Here is a 21,941-nt window from a genome sequence, read left to right on the forward strand (position 1 = left end):
CCTAGCACTGTTGGGCAAATCACCGTGGCACTTTTCCTCTCCTGGTCTATGTAAAGTATATTTTTTGTACACAGCATATAGTTGGGTCTTGCTTTTCAATTTTATGATCTCTGAATTTTACTTGGGTTGTTTAGATACTTTATATAAAGATAAATATGATTTGATTTACATCTTTCATTTTGTTTTTTGTTTTCTGTGATCACTTCTGTCTTTCCTTCCTGACTTCTTTTGGATTAAATGACTATTTTTCAATTTTAAGAATTCAATTTTAAGTTATCTATTGGCATCTTGGCTTTCTACACATCTTTTTGCATTATTTTTTAATGGTTGCTCTAGTAATTATAATAAATATCCTAAACTTTTCAGCCTACTTTGAATGCATATTATGATACTTCATGAAAGGTATAAATACCCTTCAACTGTGTAGTTCTACTTACCACTCCTATCCCAGCTCTTCACGCTGTAGTTTGTGTGTGATATCTACATATGCTATAAACCCAATAATGAAATAGTTGTCATATTGTTTGCTTTAAACAATGTATTAGTCTACTCTTGACTACCATAACAAAATACCACAGGTTGGGTGGCTTAAACAACAGACATTTATTTCCTTACAATTTTGGAGGCTAAAAGTCTGTGATCAAGGTGCTGGCAAATGCAGTTTCTGGTGAGGGCTCTCTTCCTAACTTGTAGATGGCTGCCTTCTGTGACCTCACATGGCCTTTTCTCAGTATGTGTATATGAAGAGAAAACGGTTGTATTCCTTCCTTTTCTTATAAGAACACCAGTTATATCAGATTAAGGCCCCACTGTCATGAGCTGTTTAACCTTAATTACCCCCGTAAGAGCCATATCTCTAAATACAGTCACATTTGGGATTGAGGCTTCAATATATGAATTTGAGGTGAACACAGTTTAGTCCATGTCAAAGATACATAAATGTTTTAAAGAAATTCTGAGAAATAAACCATAGTCTTTTGTATTTACCTACATAATTACTATTTTTATTGCTTTTCCTTTCTTTCTGAAAATTTGAGTTTCCATGTGATATCTTTTCCCAAGCCTAAAGAACTTGTCTTAGCCTCCGTCTCAAAAAAAAAAAAAAAAAAAAAGAACTTGTCTTAGCATGTCTTACAGTGCAGGTCAACTGGCAAAAGACATTCTCTCTATTTTTTTTCAATGCATTTATTTTATATGCTGCCTTGAAAGATATTTTTGCTCACTATAGAATTCTTGATTTACAGGTTTTTTTTTCCATCAGCACCTTAAAATGTTAGTATTTTCTATTCTGACATTATTATTTCTTATAAGAAGTCAACCATTATTTTTGTCATTCTTTCCCTTTATATAATATGTCATTTTTTTCCTCTGGCTGCTTTCAAATTTTCTCTTAATCTTTGGCTTTTATTACGGTATGGCGTGGTCTTCTTTGGATTCATCTTTCTTGAATTTGTAAGTTGATTCCTTTCACCAAGTTTGGGAAATTTTCAGCATTTAATTTTTTTTTGTTTGTTTCTTCTCCTTGCTCTCTTCCCTCTTACTGTGACTCCAATTCCACATATATGGTACCTTTGGCTATTGTCTCCCATGCCCCTGAGAGACTCAGGGTGTTAATTTTTTCAATATATATTCTCATTCATATTCTCTCTCTCTCTTTCTCTCTCTCTAAGTCTCCCAGTCTAAGTCTCATTCTCACGAGGACACTTTTGTTGGTCATCTCCAATCAGCTCTTAGGCCCATCTACTATATATTTATTTCAGATATTGTATTTAATCAATACTATTACATTTGTATTTTAATAGTTTGTTTCTTTGCTGTTTCCTCTCTGTTTAATAACTATGAGAATATTTTTCTTTTACATCCTTAAGCATTGTTAAAATACCTACTTTAAAATTCTTATCTTCTAACGCCTGTGTCACCTCAGATTTGGTGTTCACTAAGTGGCTTTTCTCTTAAGTATGGATTACATTTTCCTGTTCCTCAATATGTATAATGATTTGGGGTCATATTTTGGACATTGTGATTGATATATTCTAGAGACACTGTATTATTTCTGTTTCTCTTTTGAGTATTGATTTTTTGGTTTAGCAGGCAGTTTATTTGGCTGAACTCAAACTTCAAGTTTTGTTACTCTCCTGTGATGAACATGTCCTAAAATCTCTGTTGCATTATTTTAGCCTTAGCTGGACTACTTCTGGTGTTCCCATGCACATGTAATTGAGAGATCATCCAGAAATTAGGGTAGCATTTATAGGCACAGTGTTGCATTCCCTTTCTATGGCTCTCTCTTTCTGACATCCCCTCCACAACTTACTTCCTAGCTACTATGGTTGCCTTGAACTCTAACCTCTCATTTCTTAATCAGAAAGACTGTGTATTTCTATCTGAGTATTAGTTATCTTGCATGCCACTGACTGGGGTCCACCCATGGGCAAAAATGTATAAAATCAGGAAACACACAAAGTACTGTTTTTTCCTTCCTTGTGTCTACTCCTCTCCAGTTTCTACCTGGTTTTGGCCACTTTCCAGTGTCTTCAGAGAACTATTTGCTGTATTTTGATCAGCATTTTTAATTGTTATCAAAATGTGTCTCATCATTCATTCATTAGAGATGTCAGCATTGCTCTAGGCACTGAGGAGTGGAAAATAATGATGCTCTTGCTTTGAAAGAGCTCAGAGTATAGGGTAAGAGACAGACATATAACTAAGGATTGTAAAAGAACTTGATAGATGCTACAGTAGAGTAAGGATAGAAAATATCTGTGCCTTATATTCCCATTGCCAACCTGTGATCTTTGTCTGCATTTCCTATTCTCCATGCCTGGTCATCTCCCTGTCCTTTATACATTACCAAATTTTTCTTAACTTTTCATCATTTTTCTCTCCAAATCAAAATAATTTTTATGGCCTTTGATCTAATAAAAGTATAAACTCTTATGACATTCAAGACACACTGTCTGCCTTCGCCCTCTTTATTCATCCTTATTTTCACCAGTTTACTAATTCTGTAATTTAACCTACAGTAATCCTATGACCAATGTATGCACAACACAAATAGATACAAATGCAAAGTGTGGTAAGTGCCACCAAGGAGAAGTACATGGTGCTATCTGTGTTTTTCCTGTGGTTCACTCATCCCACATTTATTCCACAAACTTTTATTAACCACCCATGTTATGCCAGGCATGAGGCTAAACCAGTCCGTTACCATTCAAATCATATATGTCTTTCCATTTTCATGTCTCTACTAACCAGCCTCCTTTCTGTCATGCCTTGCCTCTAGCCCTTTACTCCTCCAAACTCTACCTATTTATGGCCTCTCAGCTGAAGCTTCACCTACTCCAACTGTATAATGATTGCCAAATGATTGATCTCTCACTTTGTGCTGCTATGCATCATAACTATTTCTTATTTTTCAGTGTATCTCCGGAACCTAGGTGCACAGTTCCTGGAGGCACATTAGGCATTTAGTAAATACTAAATAACTGCATTCATGCTTACACCACACATGCTAGGTTCTAGCTCACTCCTGGAAGCTCATTTAAATCTCTCTTCTCTGAACTCCTAAAGCACTTCCCATAAAAATTAGCATCAAATCAAGTAATGCCTCTAATTATCCATTACTGTTCCCAGCGAGTTTATCTTGATGCTCTCAGTGGATTGCAAACTCAGGGGATCCAAAGTGTGATGAGGATATGCTTCATCACAGTAATGCAAAGTTGAACCTGAAGGAGATAAATATTCAATAACTGCATGAGTTTTTTTTTTTCATTGAAATGACCAATGTCTTTGATATCATTTTGAAACATTTCCACAAAAACTGCACCAATGGTATTCAACAACGTATACCTGGAAGTTCAGTAGACAATATGACGTGGTGGTTAAGAACAAGGTCTTAAAATATAGAGACTGCAGTTTGAGACCTAGATTTGTCGTTACTTTACTGTGACCTTGGGCAAGATATTCAATCTCTTTGAGCTCAGTTTCCTCATCTCCATAATGAAGAATAGTATCTTCTCCATAGGAGTGCTATAAGGAATAAATGAAATAGAGTAATGTGTGTACAATGCTTAAGTTAGTACTGATGTATGGGAAATGAGTCAGTATATTTCACGTGATATCATTTATACTACTGTTGGCACTATAGTAGTGTATTAGTCCGTTTTCATACTGCTGATACGGACATACCTGAGACTGGGTAATTTATACAGAAAAAGAGGTGTAATGGACCCATAGTTCCACATGGCTGGGGAGGCGTCACAATCATAGCAGAAGGCGAAAGGCATGTCTAACATGGCGGCAGGCAAGAGGGAATGAGAGCCAAGTAAAACAGGAAACCCCTTATGAAACCATCAAATCTCATGAGACTTATTCACTACTACGAAACAGTATGGGGGAAACTGCGCCCATGATTCAGTTGTTTCCCACTGGGTCCCTCCCACAACATGTGAGATTTATGGGAGTTACAATTCAAGATGAGATTTTGGTGGGGACACAGACAAACCATATCAAGCAGACACACTTAACTTCCTAGAAATCCTGTTTAAAAGGAGGCCATGGAAGTTCAAAACAGTTTAGTGACTTGCACAAAGTCACTCAGCTAGTGAGACTCAGAGCCAGAACCCAACCCTGGCCTCTGTGTCTCCTGAACAAATTATCTTCTTTACACAGCCCTAGCTCTCAGGAAACATGCTCAGAGAGCCTATCCCTGTGCAGCCAAAAGACCAAATCTTTTCCTTGTTGGAATGAAAATAAATCTATCAGAATGGTTGTTTTAGCATCCTAGAAACTCAAGTAAACATTCAGAAAATATACAGATGAGGTTCAGGAACTCAAGCACGGTGTTGCTTGGGTGTGTTATGGCAAGCAGAGTAAATGCATGGAGAAACATTTCTGTCCCTGATACATATTTCATACTATTTTGTTTAGAGCCACCAAGTGGATTAAGGAATAAGATCCTAGACCTGGGATTTCAAATGAGAGGTGATTATCTGCAGAGCTCAGACATTTCTGTCCTTGGAGAGCTGTGTTTCCCATGTGATGATTGTTCAGTCAGGAGAGTTTCTCCTGACAGGTCTGGGGCATCTCAATTTTTTTTAACTGAGAGTTTCAAAAAATTTTTTTAATGAGGGTTTTTTCAAAAACCCTCATCATAGTCTCTTTCATTCAGCTTCTCCATTAGTAAGACACAGTGAGTAATTCAAGGTTTGACATTGCCCAGGGATGACAGCCTAGATCAAGAAGGGGAAATGATGTGATCCAGAAAAGGTTGGTGCTTTTAACACTCAGACCCCCCCCATTTGACATAAGTTACCCTTCCTTCTCATTCTTGGGCCTGTTGCTAACCTGCTTCTACCAGTTTAGCCTTGGAAATTTCATTTCTGTTTACTCTTCTCTCTAAACTTCTTTGTTTTATGTATTTAAGAGGCTAGCAGTAGGTTAAATCAAAGCTAAATTTCTTTTAGCTGAGGCACTCTTGCTACATTGGCATTTTAATGTTCTTGGAACCCGTATGGACAAAGAGTTGAAAGAAACATATACTCATTTTAATATAAATTTTTCTATCTTATACATAAATTAAAGAAGCTATAAAATTGACCCATGTCTCTTATTTTTCAGATAGACCACATGGTACAAGGCCATGCTGCTTTTCCAGAACTACAAGTAAAGGCCACAGCCAGGTAACTGCTGTCTCTGTTCCCTCTAAAATTTTCCTTGTGTGACTGTATTGAGAGAATTCACGTTGGGCAGTTGGGTGATTTTCAGATCCTACAGACAATGAAAATGCCTGTTAGTGCTTGAAAGATAGTCACCTGGATGATCCAGAAGATAGATGTATTAATTCTTTAAATGAGGTAAGAGAACTTAGAGAACCTAGAGATACCCCAAGAATATACCCAGGGACTATAGATAAGAAACTCTGATGTAGAAGAAGGACCATGGATTCTGGAGTCAAAACTTCTTAGTTTCACATCCCAGCCATACTCCTTAATAGATACAGGACCTTGAGCTAGTTACTTAACCTCTTTATGCCTGTCTCTTCATCTGTAAAACTGAAGATAATAACTGATATGGAGTGATTTCTAGAATATTTTGAAGCAAGCTGAGTGCAAAAAAAATTTACGATATACTCCCTTTCATGTAAAAAGAAAGACATAGGAAAATACATGTGTATCTGTTCATTTTTGCAAAAGAAATATAGGAAGTGGCCAGGTGCGGTGGCTCACTCCTGTAACCCCAGCACCTTGGGAGGCCGAGGCGGGCAGATCACGAGTTCAGAGATCGAGACCAGCCTGGCCAACATGGTGAAACCCCATCTCTACTAAAAATACAAAAGTTAGCCGGGCATGGTGATGTATGCCTATAATCCCAGTTACTTGGGAGGTTGAGGCAGGAGAATTGCTCAAACCCGGGAGGTGGAGGTTGCAGTGAGCAGAGATCGTGCCACTGCACTCCAGCCTGGGCAATAAAGTGAGACTCCGTCTCAAAAAAAAAAAAGAAATACAGGAAGTTTAAACCAGAAAATAATAAGATTAGTTACCTACAGGGGGTGGGTAGGAATGGGGTGGAAAGAATGTGGGAATGGGACCATGGTAGTAGGAAGAAATGACACTTCTCTGAGTATACCTTTTTATATAACTATAACTCTTAGAATTATTGTCATGCCTCATGTCCCTGATACCCCGATAAAATAGGTGATAGATAACCAGGATATATGTGTATGTTGGCATGGGCAAAATGAAATGCACACAGTAAAAACTGAACCTACTGTATTACAAAGGGGGTTGGGAAAAGAAAAGAAAGGAAAAGAAAAAAGAAAAGAACCTAAGTAAATTTGGGAAAGAATATTTTGACTATATGCCATATGGCTAAAGAGAAAAATAACCATACATAAATATTATACTCTAATTGGTAAATCTGTTTTTCATAGGTGTATATGTTAGCTATAGTGACAACTCTTTATGTGTATGCTACAGTTGAGTGAAGAAATCAATATATTGTGGATAATAAGAGCCAGGTTCCTCACAAATGGGAAAAGGAGAAGGTTAGAATGAACCTCATGGTGTCAATATCAACTTATGATTTTATATATATATATATATATATATATATATATATATACACACACACACACACACACAGCTGGATATAAATATAAGTAAATATAGATATGTATATTCATGCATGAATATACATGCATATACTCCCTAGGTCTCTCTGCTGAGATGGCTTGGAAGCAATGACACGATAGTAGCAATGTGTGTACCTAGCTCACAGGTACTGTATTCTAAGTACCATTCTCCCATTTCTCCAATAAAAGTAATCAGGACTTCTTAGAAAGATGGCTGAGTCTACGCTGCGGCAGTAAAATTATGGTGCCAGAAAGAAAAAAGTTACTCAACAAGGAATTGTCAAGGTACATTGGAACCAACTTTAAGAATCTCTCAGTGGCCTACTCAGGATAAAATAAACAGTAATAGCGTAAAGTAAGTCCATAAGTAAATAACTTTGTAAGTAAACTACTGAAGAAGGAAATAAACGAGGACGAAATGACAGGTCTTCCTCTTCACTGTCAGGACAGTAGCCTTACAATTAATAAATGTAGAAGAAATAATGGAAATAGATAATCAACATTAGGTAAACACTACAGAGATAAATGTTGTAGGCAAGAATCATTAATGGATGCTAAAATTAGTGAGTAAAAGTGGGAAGCAGGATATTTTCATAAACCCAGAGGATTTCAGTACAAGATACTGAGTAATAGGAAGAGGAAAATAATAACTTTCCAGTAGTATATAAGTATGGCAGACACCACCTTACCCAAGTGATGAAAGTAAACAACACCAGCAATAACATGTAGTGATATCATGTATCTCCTTTTATGAGGCACCGATAAAGATACAACATCATTTCTGCCATGTTCTTGCCCAAAATGATTAAACTCAGTGTAAATATGGGAAGCATCAGACAAACCTAGATTGACATTCCACAAAGCTATTAGCCAGTTTGCTCCAAAGGAAAATTAAGAAACTTAAATACTGAAGAACTGTCCTAGATTGGAGGAGACTTAAGGAGGTACTACAGCTGTAAGCAGTATATAATCATGGATTCAACTCTGGACCAGAGAAAGGACATTGGTGGAGGAAAACTGTTGAAATTCAAATAGAGATTAATAGTATTGTTATTTATGGCAATTTCTTAGGTGATGAGTAAAAGGGAACTCTGTGTATTATTTTTGTAACTTTTGTGTAAATCTAAAATTATTTTGAAATAAAAAGTCTAAAAAATAATGAATGGATTTTCATGCTGATAATGCTTAGTTGTCAGGCTGTTTAAGTAAAGTAAGATATTTTTATAGAATTATCAGAGAAACCCATGTAGCTAGCTAGCACAGGACAAAAGAGAGATAGTCTAAGGTGGCCACTAATAGACTCTGAAGCCAAATTGCCTTTGCCTCAGCTTTGTCGCTTATTCACTTTCTGTTTCTGGGCTATTTACTTAACCTCTGTGCCTTAGTACCTCACTGTAAAGGGAATAATAGTAAACATTTCATAAGGTTGTTGAGAAAATTAAATGAATTAGAATAATGGGTGATACAGAGTGATGATTAAGAGTCAGGCTGTAATAGGTGTTCAACTAAAAAAATGGTAATGATAAAAATTACTGTTGGGGAACATCACACACCGAGGCCTGTCGTGGGATGGGGGGATAGGGGAGGGATAGCATTAGGAGAAATACCTAATGTAAATGACGAGTTAACGGGTGCAGCAAACCAACATGGCACATGTATACATATGTAACAAACCTGTACATTGTGTACATGTACCCTGGAACTTAAATAAAAAATGAATAAATAATAAATAAATAAATAAATGATTGTTGTAGTTAGTATATTAGACATTTCCATTCTACTAAGTGACTTACATTCTAATAGGATCAGCACACCTACACAGAGCAGAATAAATGAATACTGTAGTAAAATATACGTAGTGTGTTATCAGGCTGTGTAGAAAAGGAGGACTGATTTTGACAAGGAGTTTAAGAAAAGCTTCATAGGCATTCCCTTCTAGGAGTCTTTAGTTATAATGCCATTGCAATTAGTCATTAATTACAATTACCATTGAGAGGGATTATGTCACATAACCTTACCAACTAGCATATTAGTGGCATAGAGACCATATAACCTAGAAAAGGGATTCCTAATTTCGGATCATCAATGAACCTCTTTAAATTGTGTACTGTTCTGCTGATTACATAATTCTGCATGTATTTCTGTGAAGGGACCATAACGGTCATTATTTTCTTAAAGGGTTTAAGCATTTATAAACCACTAAGCCAAAGAAAAGAGCACTAAATTTATAGTCTGGAGACCTGAATCCAAATCTCAGCTCCAACATGTATCATTGTGTGAAACCCATTTTCTTCATTATAACATAGGATAGTAATGGAGAATCAACCCGAAACACCTCTAAGGATTTATTTTGAGTTTAGAAGAGGTAATATATTTGACGGGGCCTTGTAAACTGAATTGTGACAATAATGATGATCACTACTACTCTGTTAGTCCATTCTTGCACTGCTGTGAAGAAATACCTGAGACTGGGTAATTTATAAAGGAAAGAGGTTTAATTGACTTACAGTTCTGTGGGCTGGGCAGGCATCAGGAAACTTACAGTCATGGTGGAAGGGGAAACAAACACATCCTTCTTCACATGGTGGCAAGAGAGAGAAGTGCTGAGCAAAAGGAGGAAAAGCCCCTTATAAAACCATCAGATCTCATGAGAAGTCACTATCACAAGAACAGCATGAGGGTAACCACACCCATAATTCAATTACCTCCAACCAGGTCCCTCCCACAACACATGAGGATTATGGGAACTAAAATTCAAGATGAGATTTGGTAGGGACACAGCCAAACCATATCAACTACTACTATTACTACTAATGATTGTAAGAGGAGGAAGTTTGGTGGTGGTTGCTATGGGTTCAAGCAGCATACGTCAGTCATTCATACCTTGCCTGCCTTCTTATGGAAAGCATGGAGGAACAGCAAGGACAGGGACTGTGAATTAGAGTCCTTGAGTTCTTGTACCTGTTCTGCCCTGAATGTCTCAATGACTACTAGATTCTTCATCCATAAATTACAATAATGATACCCTACTTACTTCATTTTACAGGCATTAATAGGATGAAAGCAGGTCACAGGAATGTCTGTATATGAACATTTTAGTGTGTAACACAAACTTACTGAATATTTAGTTTTGCAATGACATACTCTAAACTTCCAGAACTTTCTTCTATAGATAAACTTCATTTGAGTAGCTTCTGTTGCAAATCATAATAAAAAGAAGAAAGAATTTATGGATTACCATGCAAACTCAGAGAAACAACAGTATCGGGTGGTTCAGAAGCAGCAACTTACAGAACTCAGTGATGGAGTCAGAACTGGATTTAAATCCCACCTCTTTTCACATAACTTCAAACCCACTTCCAGCTACTTTCCTGTATTTCTCCTTCTGTTTAGAGTGGAGTTTCTCCAAAGCATCGCCTGTACTCTTGGTCTCTACTTCTCCACTTCCTACTCCTTCCTTGCCCACTGCAGTTTGAATTCTGTCACCATCAGCCCCCTGAAACGTTTCATATTAAGGTTATCAGTGACCTCTATTTTGCTAAGTCCATAGGATGTTTTTTATTCCCCTTTCTTTAGTTCTCAGCAGCATGGGGCATCAGTGATCACTTTTTCCTCCTTTTAACATTCTCTTTCCTTGACTTTCTGGAATGTCACCCTGTCTGTTTTCTCCCTATATCTCTGATTCCTCCTTCCTAACCACTTTTCTTGAGTTTATAGTCCTTTTCTTGACCATTAACATTAATTTTTGTCACAGCTAGCTTCCTGGCCCTCTTCTCTCTTTGCCATCTCTTCCAAGATGATCTCAGCTATGCTCTTGACTTCATTTCTGTCTATATTTTGATGACTCTTTTATGTCCAGCCCAGATACTTAGTAGGTATTCAGTAAATGTTAGTTCGGTTTCCTTCCACTTTTCTTTTATTGTCTTACAAAGGAAAGTGCATCTGTGTCTTATTAGATCTATGAGTACAATATTCTAAAACTATGGGACCCTTTATGCTTCCGGTCTTAGAAAGAAACAGGCATAGCTGTTTTTGAAATGAAGTTAGCTGTTTGGAAGAGTGGACAAATCCTTCTGAATCAAGAACCATGTGTCTCTTTTACTATGACTTGGGGCTTTCTGAAAACAGCAATGCAGGTCACCCCTATCTCAGAGCTTAGGGTCAGCAAATCCTGTTTGAAACTGTGGAAACAAGTGTTGATAAACAGATTGAGTATTTTATACTCTTGATTTACAATAATCCTCTTAGGCCCCATCTCTGAAGAGAAGTGTTTTGCAAGCTTATAAATTAAGTAAACAAGAACTGGATGTGCCCGTACATGTAACTGGTAACCAAAGTTTCTCTTCATGTGGGGCCAAATTTGCAGATATTTCACTCTTTAGCAGAGATCACCTTATGTCAATCATAAATTTTGACTCTTTTCCTCTAAACTTGATTCTCTTAGAGGTTCTTAACTAACAGTGTCTCTGAATTAGGTTCTGGTGACAACAGGGTTTAGTGAGAACATTTTGGCATAATCCACAAGTGCTAGATTCAAGGTTGGCAGCAAAGCAAAACTTAAAATCCAGGGTCTGTGGCCCATCTGTCTGATGAGTATCTTTTGAGCATTTGTGATACATGAATGAACCAAGCAAACAAAGTCTTTGCTTTCATAAAAATATACACACACATACATATATAAACATGCAGTACATACATGCAAATATGCATACTATATACATATACACATATGCATATATACAGATATAGCCAGCCATTGATAAATGCTCTAAGGAAAATTGTAGATAAATAAGGAGATATAGAGCATTGGTTTCAAAGCCCTTAATGTTGTCTTTGTTGTGCTAGTGCATATTTTTTTCCTCAGCCTTTCTTTTTTCCTACTTTCCCTGAATTTTTCTGTTATTCCTCTGAGGACAGCTAATTTTTCTTGATCTGATTTATTCCTCAAACTTCTTTTGCTTTTGTAATTCCCATAATCCCACTAAATATCAATTTCTTAAAATTCACTAGTCCTCTATATCGCGAATCGCAGATAGATTAAAACTTCCCATTAAAGGCTGTACAAATCCCCCTCAAGCAAAGAAAGGGAAAAAAAGGACAATAACATTTATTAAGAATCTGCAGTATGTTTGGCACTGTGCTTAGTGATAATAGTTTCACGTATATTATCTCATTTAATTCTAGATGAGGAAATGAGGATTATTGGGAGCTCTCAAACTTCACTTCTAAAAATTTTTCTCTCTTTCCATTCTGCTCTTTTGTATTGAGAGTCCCCTTTTAGCCTTTATGACTTTTTAAACCTTGGACCGTCATTCTGATAACTGGGGTGTTGAGTCTATCACTGAATATTTACTTAGCCTTCCCTGAGCTAGGACAGTCAGTGTGATAATATTAACACCTTTCATTCCCCCATGGTATACAAAGATAATCAGTAAATTCTTGATGGCTCTGAGTTCAGAAAGATTTCTTACAGAAATTAGCTGGATATTATTATACATTTCTTTTTTTTTTTTTTTTTCTTTTTTTTTGAGACGGAGTCTCGCACTTTCACCCAGGCTGGAGTGCAGTGGCACTATCTCAGCTCACTGCAAGCTCTGCCTCCCGGGTTCACACCATTCTCCTGCCTCAGCCTCCTGAGTAGCTGGGACTACAGGCGCCTGCCACCGCGCCCGGCTAATTTTTTGTATTTTTAGTAGAGACGGGGTTTCACCGTGTTAGCCAGGATGGTCTCGATCTCCTGACCTCGTGGTCTGCCCGCCTCGGCCTCCCAAAGTGCTGAGATTACAGGTGTGAGCCACTGCGCCCGACCTATTATACGTTTCTTTGGTTTCTGTTTTGCATGCAAATAAAAGAAAGTGCTCAGGGCATTGGGGTCTTCTCTAGAAGACCAAGGGTCTGTGCTGATTTAGGACATAAATCCTCTTATTTTCTACCTCCCAACTGGTTACCAGTAGCTCAGCACAGTGCCTGGTGGCATAGGGGCATGTGTAGGGAAGTCATAAGATGCCTGTTCCTTTGCCCTGTCCCCATCTTCTGTATATTCCAGCATGTCTGGAAGGCTGTGTCCATCTGAAGGGTTTTAGATGGTGTGGGAGTAATAATCAAGGTTGCATTGTAGAAGAACCAATCAGGAAAGAGTACAGAAAGCCTGATTGGACATTCTTAGTTGAGTTGTCTTTGGACATCTAAGAGGAGGCATTTGAAGAGTGGTTGGATACTTGACCTGGAACTCATAAGAAAGAAATGGACAGGAGTTAAGGTCATATATTTGGAAGTCCTCAGCACTAGATGGTAACTGGAGCAATGAGAAGAGGTTAGGATCATCCAAGAGGAGATAAAGAGTAAGAAAATGGTGAAAGACAGTAGATCTCTGGAAGACGTCATATGTTTAATGAACAAGTGAAGAAGGAGAAACAGCCAAAGAGGAGGGAGGAAAATCAAGAGAGAATAGTGTTTCAGAAACAAGAGAACAAATGAGGAAGGAGTGGTCAAATGATGTAAAATGCCCAAAATGATTCATCGGCATTAACAACAAAGAGGGTATTGTTCCTCATGGTAGTACCAGTTTCAGTAGAATGGAGCAGGCAGAATGCATAGTGTATTGGGTTAAGAAGTAAGGAACTAGGCCGGTTGCAGTGGCTCACACCTATAATCCCAGCACTTTGAGAGGCTGAGACGGGCGGATCACGAGGTCAGGAGATCAAGACCATCCTGGCCAACATAGTGAAACCCCATCTCTACTAAAAATACAAAAAATTTAGCTGGGCATGGTGGCACACGCCTGTAGTCCCAGCTACTCGGGAGGCTGAGGCAGGAGAATCACTTGAACCCAGGAGGCAGAGGTTGCAGTGAGCTGAGATCACACCACTGCACTCCAGCCTAGTGACAGAGCAAGACTCTGTCTGGAAAAAAAGAAAAAGAAAAAGTAAGGAACTAGAGACAGGCAATATGGAAGCTTCTTTTCTAAGACTTTCTCTTGTTGGTAGAAAAGGCACAAGTATATTTTGTTATACCATGTATTCTGATTTTTTGGTTTAAGAGTATGACCACCATACTCTCTGGGCAGCCTGTGAACCCATAGAATTAGGTGATTTATGGAGAGGGAGAGGACATGAGAGATTTCAGGGATGTTGTCTGCATTTAAGATCACAAGCAATAGGTCCGAAAAAAAAAATCTTCTTTGATTCTTGGATTTTTAAAAAACTAGAAATGAGTTTCTTATGATGGCAAAGAAGAGGAAACTATTTATTGATAAACCTGTCATTTTATAGTGCTCAGGGCTCTATGTTTAATCTTCATAGCAGCCTTTAAGTAGACAGTATTAGCCCCAATAGCAAAAAAGCAAATAGGCTCAGAGAGGGTTTGCCTACCTGATCATCCAGCTGGTACGTGGTAAAGTCACTTTATGATTATTGAAACTATATTTTCTTCATGATACCCAGTGGGATGTGGACAGCAAAAGTTTCTCCTTTTGAGACAGGATATATCAACCTGGGGTTCATGAGAGAGAGGGTGAGCGATCCACTTGGGATCACAGTTAATATGTGATTCCCTAGCTAGAAGAAGGCAGGCTGCCATTTGAGAAGGAACTGATAAAACATGCAAAATGACACAAAGTCAGAACCAAAAAAGGCATCATGCAAGGTTAAAATTATGTGAATAATGATGTGTATTAGTTAGTTTAATGTCTTCCAAGTGCATTTCATTTTGAATGATATACTCAGATAGCACACATGGTAAGGTATAATTGAAAAAACATGTAGGAGAATGGCTGCATTCAAAGAATAAACATACAGCTGCAAGGAGGTTAGGAGTCAAAGGGGTAAGCATATGCCCCATCCCTCAGGGATCTCATTAGTGCATGAGTGGCCATATATGTAGAGGCTAAATGAATCTCACTGTTTGCAAAGACCTGCAGTAAATGAGACAATGACGAATCAATAATAATTAGGCCTATACGTTCTTATTGACCCAGATGTCTGAAACCAAATGCCCTGCTCAGAGATTCCTTGAGAGGCAGAATGAAAAGATTTATAGACATGCGTTTCCAAAAAAAAAAAAAAAAATCCCTTTACTTTAAGAACAGTGGCTATTCTGAAGTGGAAAGTCGCAAGAATTAGTGCAGACTCTTGACTTCTGGCTAGAAAAGATGTTCTCAAGGCTTTTCTTGTGAATGTGATTCCTGTTGGACCAGGAGCAGAGAGAGCAAAGAGATGGAAAACCAGGAGGTTATCATATTCGTGTTCGCTGATACGTTGTTCTGGCTGTACCTTGTATGGAGGCTTCAGAGGATCCTTTCCTGAAGCCATAATAGAATCATTCTAAAACAGGGTTTGTGTTTTTAGGGCTTTGATAAATAATTTCTGACCTAAGATACAGAAAGTCCATGGCTTCAGAATCACAAGGAGAAGGGTTTAAAGCTGGACTCAGACCTGTCTCTTCACCTCTTGAAGCATCTCCTCTGTATGTTAGTGGTACCTCCCCAACTGGGCAGTGTTGGAAGGTCTGGTGTACATTTAGGGAATGGCAACTGGTGTTAACTGTAGTTGTTAAGCCTTTTCCCAGTAATATCTTATTCCTCCTAATAAGATCTAAGGAAGAAGATTTTTGCAGATGAGAATGAGCTATTACAGCAAGAAGCAAATAAACTGCTGGTAGGTAGGGCGGTTGGGCTGCCCTCACCTCCACCCTAGTACACATCACACGCACTCACACACACACACATATACATGCATTCACATTTACACACTCACTCATGCTCACACAGAGCAGCTTTGCTTTTCTATATTTTTACATTGAATATTTACATACAATTTTTGTTTAATAAAGGAGTTCTACTGGACGGGTGTGGTGGCTCAAGCCTGTAATCCCAGCACTTTGGGAGGCCGAGGTGGGCAGATCACGAGGTCAGGAGATTGAGACCATCCTGGCTAACACGGTGAAGCCCCGTCTATACTAAAAATACAAAAAAAATTAGCCAGGCGTGGTGGCGGACGCCTGTGGTCCCAGCTACTCGGGAGGCTGAGGCAGGAGAATGGCGTGAACCCGGGAGGCGGAGCTTGCAGTGAGCCGAGATCGCGTCACTGCACTCCAGCTTGGTGACAGAGCAAGATTCCATCTCAAAGAAAAAAATAAAATAAAATAAAAAATAAGTAAAGGAGTTCTACTGGTAAATGGGGAAAAAAAGAGAATTTAAAAATCAATGCTCTACTCATTGGTTTGTTTCCCTACACCAAGTACAGGAAACTTTTGGCAACTTCATGGGATCCATGGGATCACTCACCCAATCACAAACTAGAACTAGAAATCACTGAGCCTTCCTTCTAAAACACTTTTAAAATGCAAAGCATAAATAATGCCTTAGGTATCTTAGATATTAACCTCCTTTGGATATTGATTTCCTATACTTTTTTTTCTGCCATTATACAAGCCATGTTTTTAACCTTTAAAGAGACTTCCAAGGACCCCAGTGGGAAGTAGCACAGATGCCAACTACTGCAATATCCACTTTCTTTTGAAATCATTGGTTCAGAACTTTTAGAAAGCAGCATCTTTTAAGAGGGGAAGGTTGACCAGCTTTCATCTTTGTGTCATGTGGTGTGATTTAACCCGGTGAGGTAGGTGTTATTAAACCTATTTTATGAGTGGGAAAATTGGAGGTCAGAGGTTAAGTCACTGGCCCATTTTACCGAGCTAGGAGAGGTAGTATCAAGATTTGAACTGAGTAGTGCTCTCATGCCCATCATCTTCTCTCCACCTCCTCTTCACCTGAACATGTAAAGAATGAAGGAGTTGGTTTGACTCCCTCATTCTACACATGAAGAAACTGAGACTTAAAAAGGAGAAAAAAAACCAGGCGAGGTGGCTCACACCTGTAATCCTAGCACTTTGGGAGGCCGAGATGTGTGGATCACCTGAGGTCAGGGGTTTGAGACCAGCCTGGCTAACATGGTGAAACCCCGTCTCTACTAAAAATACAAAAATTAGCTGGGTGGGGAGGCTGAGGCAGGAGAATCGCTTGAATCTGGGAGGCGGAGGTTGTAGTGAGCCGAGATTGCACCATTGCACTCCCACCTGGGCAACAAGACTGAAACTCCATCTCAAAAAAAGAAAAAGAAAAAACGTACACAATGTCATCTGGTGGGTTTAGGTTGAAAATCAGGTCTCTAACTCCTGATCCTAACTGCATTTATGACATTCAGTCACTTTACTTAGCAAAATCCTATCCTGAGTCTGGGAACTTATAATTTCTCTCCATTTATCAACTCATCATCATTATTACAATTAGGAATACTGATTTTAATAAATTATTGACATATGACCAGTACTGTACAGTTTACAAAATACTGCGCCTTCACATACATAATCTTCTTTGATCTTCACAATAACCCTATGAGGTAAGTTGGACAGGGATTATGATATCTGTTTTTACAGATGAGAAGAGGGTGGTTCAGAAAGTTTGAATAACTTTCTCATGGCCATACATCTACTAAGAGTAAAGCCATTCCTGGATCCAGTCTTCTGACTCCAAACCTTTCTACTAGGATGTGGCACCTTTCTTGGTGATAGTACAGTGTGATTTGAGAGTACAGTGGGCTAGCTTCTCTGAAGCTTTTAGGAGCCTGCTTACTTTCCTGGATCTGGAAGTACAAATGGTTTCTTTCTATAGAATGATTTGCTCCCTGACCCTATCCCCCCTTTAAAAATAAAATTCACTTCTCTTCCAGATGCCAGAGTATATATGCATATTTGAACAGTCACCTGGATCTGATTAAGAAGGCTCAGCCTGTGGGTTTCCTTACTGTTGATTTACATGTTTGGCCAGATTTCCATGGCAACCGGTCTCCCTTAGCAGATCTGACACTAAAGGGCATGGTAAGTAACAGCTAGTCCTTGCACATGGGTGAAGGCAGGCCAAAGGGCTACAAAGTTTGGAAGAAGCAAAGTGAGGAAAAAGGAAAAGAAAAAAATAAAACAGGCCAACAGCCCTCTGGCTTTGTGCAGATGCATTGCTGTTGCTGCTCCCTGGGATGAGCTGCTGAAAGTTTTCATTGTTTCTGAGCCAACCTTGAAAGCGTTAAAAGCAGCATTTCCTAGTTCAGCTACTGCTGCCTCTTTGTCCTGTGGAGTGGCTAAAAGTCATGCCTATGTAATTTTGGCATTTATATCAGTTTGTAAAGTCAAATTTTCCAGCTGCATCTTTAGGTTGCCCAGTAAATCAGTAGTAAATATTACCACCCATGGTCTTGCTGGCCACAGCCACACATCTGCCTAGGCTCTGAGTCAGGGCTGTTCAGATTCTACACTAATATAGTTAGGATTTCAGATTAAACTTTGGTATAAGTAAATGTAATTTATAACTTATGTTGGAAAATAAATCCTGCTCTTAGTGCCCTTTAGGGTCACTTCCTCTGTGGATATTCTAGGCTCTCCTAGAGGGGCCAGATGAACTTGGTGGGAGAACTCTCAACCACCCCAGTTGAGATATAAAAGTAATAACATCTTAGACACCAGGAGAATCATGTTTGAGGTGTGATGAAGCAGGTTAAAGGTAGAGGAGGGGCCAGGTGAGGCCACAAATAAGAAAATAAGCCATGAATGCAGGAACCAGGAAAATGTCATGAAGCTGAGAAGGTGAGTGTGAGGTACATTAAGGCAGAGTTCAGAATGGAGGCTGTAAACAAGGCAAGGCTTATGCAAAGGAAGCCGCGTAACAGTGGAGCAGGCCTGATGGAGTCAAGAATTCAAGACTCAAACTACTACAATTTTGTGGTTAGTTTTATTGAGATTGTTTTAAATATTTTTATGATGCCAGCAGGAAGACCTGAAATTTATTTTCATTACCTAGTTGACATGATCAACTTCTATTACTAAAAGGGAGTCATGGTGAAAAGAAAAGAAAATTAGACATGACAAAGGTTATGTTGATCTGGAGTCCATGAAGCATGCCTACACAACAAATCATGAGCTTGGTGTCCTTTTTTATAGAGGCAGAAGAATAATGTCCAGAGAGGGCCATGTGGCAACAGACCGCAACTAGAAAGTCATACTTTCAGATAACCAACTCTCTCTGTAAACAGGGGGTAGGGGAAGAACACATTTCATATGGGTACAGAAATAAGTGTCTTAATTAGAGACAAATATCTGAAGCCAAATAGAGCTAGATATTTAAAATGTTGAAGCAGTTAAGAAGCTTGACCAGTGTTTTAAATGACCCCAAAACAAAGCAGTGTTGCATAGTAAAATGGTCATTGCTCTGGAGGTCATTTGTTGCTTTAGATAAAACTGACCTAGGAGCCTTCCCTAGCCAATGTCTGTCATACCCAAATTCAGTACCCAGCATGTCAGGCTTCATGTCTCCCAGTAGCTTTTATCCATTTTTTAAAACCAATCCTGACATCCAAGACCTAAGAATTATCATCAGAAGGATATTCTAATACAGTTGACCCAAATGCAGAATGAAATTCCAAAGAAATCAATGGAGTGTTCTGAAGAATTCTCATATCATGAGAATAAGTATGTATGCACCAAAAGGAACTTCTTACATGGGGACATATGCCCAGTTGTATCTAAAAATCCTGGGTATGTTTACTTTTTTAAAAAGTTGTATGTTTGTTCACATACCTCATATATCACTTGGTAGTTCTTGGCAATGATTCCCTTTATAACTGTCCTTGGGTTAGGCTGCAATGGAACAGTTATCACTCCATGAATTTGCATCACAACACTGGAAGGAGAAGATGACCTAAATAAGATAGAAGGAAAGCAATTCTGAGCTAAACACTTCACCCCAAATCTCCTTCCTTCAGTCCAGTTTTGGAAAACATCAAAATAATGACCCTGAAATTCTTCTGTTATGTTATATCCTTTTGCTGGAAACTACGATGATGCCTATCTCCAGCACTCATTCAGCAAATATTAATTGGGTTCCTATTGTATGCCAGGCACTGCCGTAGATATGAGTAAGATGCAACAATACCTACCTTCATGGAGTATGTTTAAAGTTGGGAGTGGGCGAGTGCTTGAAAAAATGTTAATAGGAACTAGCAGGATAATTCCAATAAAGCAAGATCCATGTACAATTTCTTCTTTTGGCCCCTAAAACGTTTCCCTGGACACAGAGTAAGTGCTCAGTATATGCTTATTTATAATTTATAGGCAACATAGAGATAATAAAGAGGTCATTTGTTGCCTTAGATAAAACAAACATATGAAGAATTTAATAATACCAAATGAATTAAGTGGCTACTGACACTGACTATCCATATCGTAAGTATTTAATACCAATATTAATTTCCAAGTAAATGAAGATAAACTCCAATTGTATCATAATTATGAGACTGTTTATTCATCAAACAAATACAGGCCCTGTTACAGTTGTTGGGGGATATAAGAGTAGCTAGACACAATCCCAGCCCTCAGGAATATCACCATCTTTGGGAGGCAGACAAAATATATAAACAGGGAATGGAAAGATAGTATTAAGCTCCAGATGTCCTTCACTGTCCAGAGCTCTCCAGATGCATGGAAGACGATTGCCCAACCTGGTCCCAGCGGTCAGGAAAGCTCCAGACAGGAAGTAACATTGACACTGAGTGAAGCTGGGAAGGGGGTTTGAGGCCAAGGGAATCATAGTATGTGCAGTATTCTAGAGGGAAGAGAGCATGGCATGTGAATGTCTACAATTTTGGCTCCTTGTATCATTGTCTAACCAATGATAGATTGCCTTTAGCATTTTATCTTAATAATAAAAAAAGAAAATTTTCTCGGATTTCTCAGAGAACCACTGGATATCTGTATATTCCGGCTTTGGCAGCGTTGCACTCTCCCAGTTCTCTACTCTCCCCTCAGGTGACTCTTTTCTTGCATTGTTAAACATTTACCCATTCACTGTGTTTTTATTGAATACCTGCTATGTGCAGGCCTGTGCTAAACCCAGGTAATACAAAGAAAACAGAAAAGTACCTATCCTAAGTTCACATAAAAGTAGGGGAGGTAATTATTGTACATGTGTGTATGTGTGTGTATATAATCATTTTACAGTGTGATCTCTGTAATAATCAGTGCAAGCTGAAGGAGATGCTCAATACATGTCTGACTTTGAAATTGTTTTTATGTGGCATTGGGCTAGCAAACCCTGATGCAGCCTTTTTCTGCTTCTCTTGAAAATATTTGTAAAAATGCAAAAAAGTCATGAATTCATGCAGGCCTTAGGAATTAGGATGGTGTTCAACTAGGAAAACTAGAATTGGTATTCCCAATTATATGATGAATGCAACTTGTTTGATAACATCATATATGACATAAGAACAAAGTCATGTGTGATCCACTGTGGAAACAGTTTGGACCTCGCCACCTTCTGCTCCCTTGCATAAAAGCACAAGGTTCTTTTAAACCTGAAAACAGCATAGCTATTCCTCTACTTTACTGCTAATGGTTGGGTTTTTTGTTTTCTTTTTGGAAAGCAGCCAGTGAGTTTAAATTCCTAGATCCCCCCACAACCCTGTTCCCAGCCACTCTTTCAGTTCATTCCATTTGAAAACTGCCAGCTCAAGAATCCACCCAAGCAGGAAGTGTGAATTAGGAGGAAGGGTGATGGCTTGCATTCTAAGCATCTGTTAATGGGGCAGATGTAGGAAAGGCCTTAGTAGTTCTGTAAACTTGGGAGGAAGGGTGTAGTTTGCACTACTAGTTCTAGGCTCGGAAAGCCAGGCAGTGCTGATCTACCTCAGTCCAACAAAGCTACAGAAAATAAAAACTGCTGTACTCTGCCAACTGGCATTTAGCTGTAGATCTGAAGAGACAAATT

At 38.6% G+C, this 21,941-nt stretch overlaps 1 protein-coding gene across 59 annotated transcripts in view; it reads left to right on the forward strand.

Moving 5' to 3' along the window:
- FGGY (FGGY carbohydrate kinase domain containing) overlaps positions 1 to 21,941 on the forward strand; it is a 466,353-nt gene that overhangs the window by 323,991 nt on the left and 120,421 nt on the right. For 35 of the 59 annotated variants that reach the window (XM_011541731.2, XM_047424383.1, XM_011541730.2 and 32 more), the window contains 3 exons: positions 5,620 to 5,681; positions 17,860 to 18,007; positions 20,912 to 20,983. In XM_011541731.2, the coding sequence (XP_011540033.1) occupies positions 5,620 to 5,681; positions 17,860 to 18,007; positions 20,912 to 20,983 (282 nt within the window). The remainder of the gene's footprint in view (positions 1 to 5,619; positions 5,682 to 17,859; positions 18,008 to 20,911; positions 20,984 to 21,941) is intronic. The other 24 variants (NR_103473.2, XM_017001645.2, NM_001350793.2 and 21 more) reach the window with 2 other exon arrangements.

Source organism: Homo sapiens, chromosome 1, assembly GCF_000001405.40.
Source record: "Homo sapiens chromosome 1, GRCh38.p14 Primary Assembly".
Taxonomy (NCBI): Eukaryota; Metazoa; Chordata; class Mammalia; order Primates; family Hominidae; genus Homo; species Homo sapiens.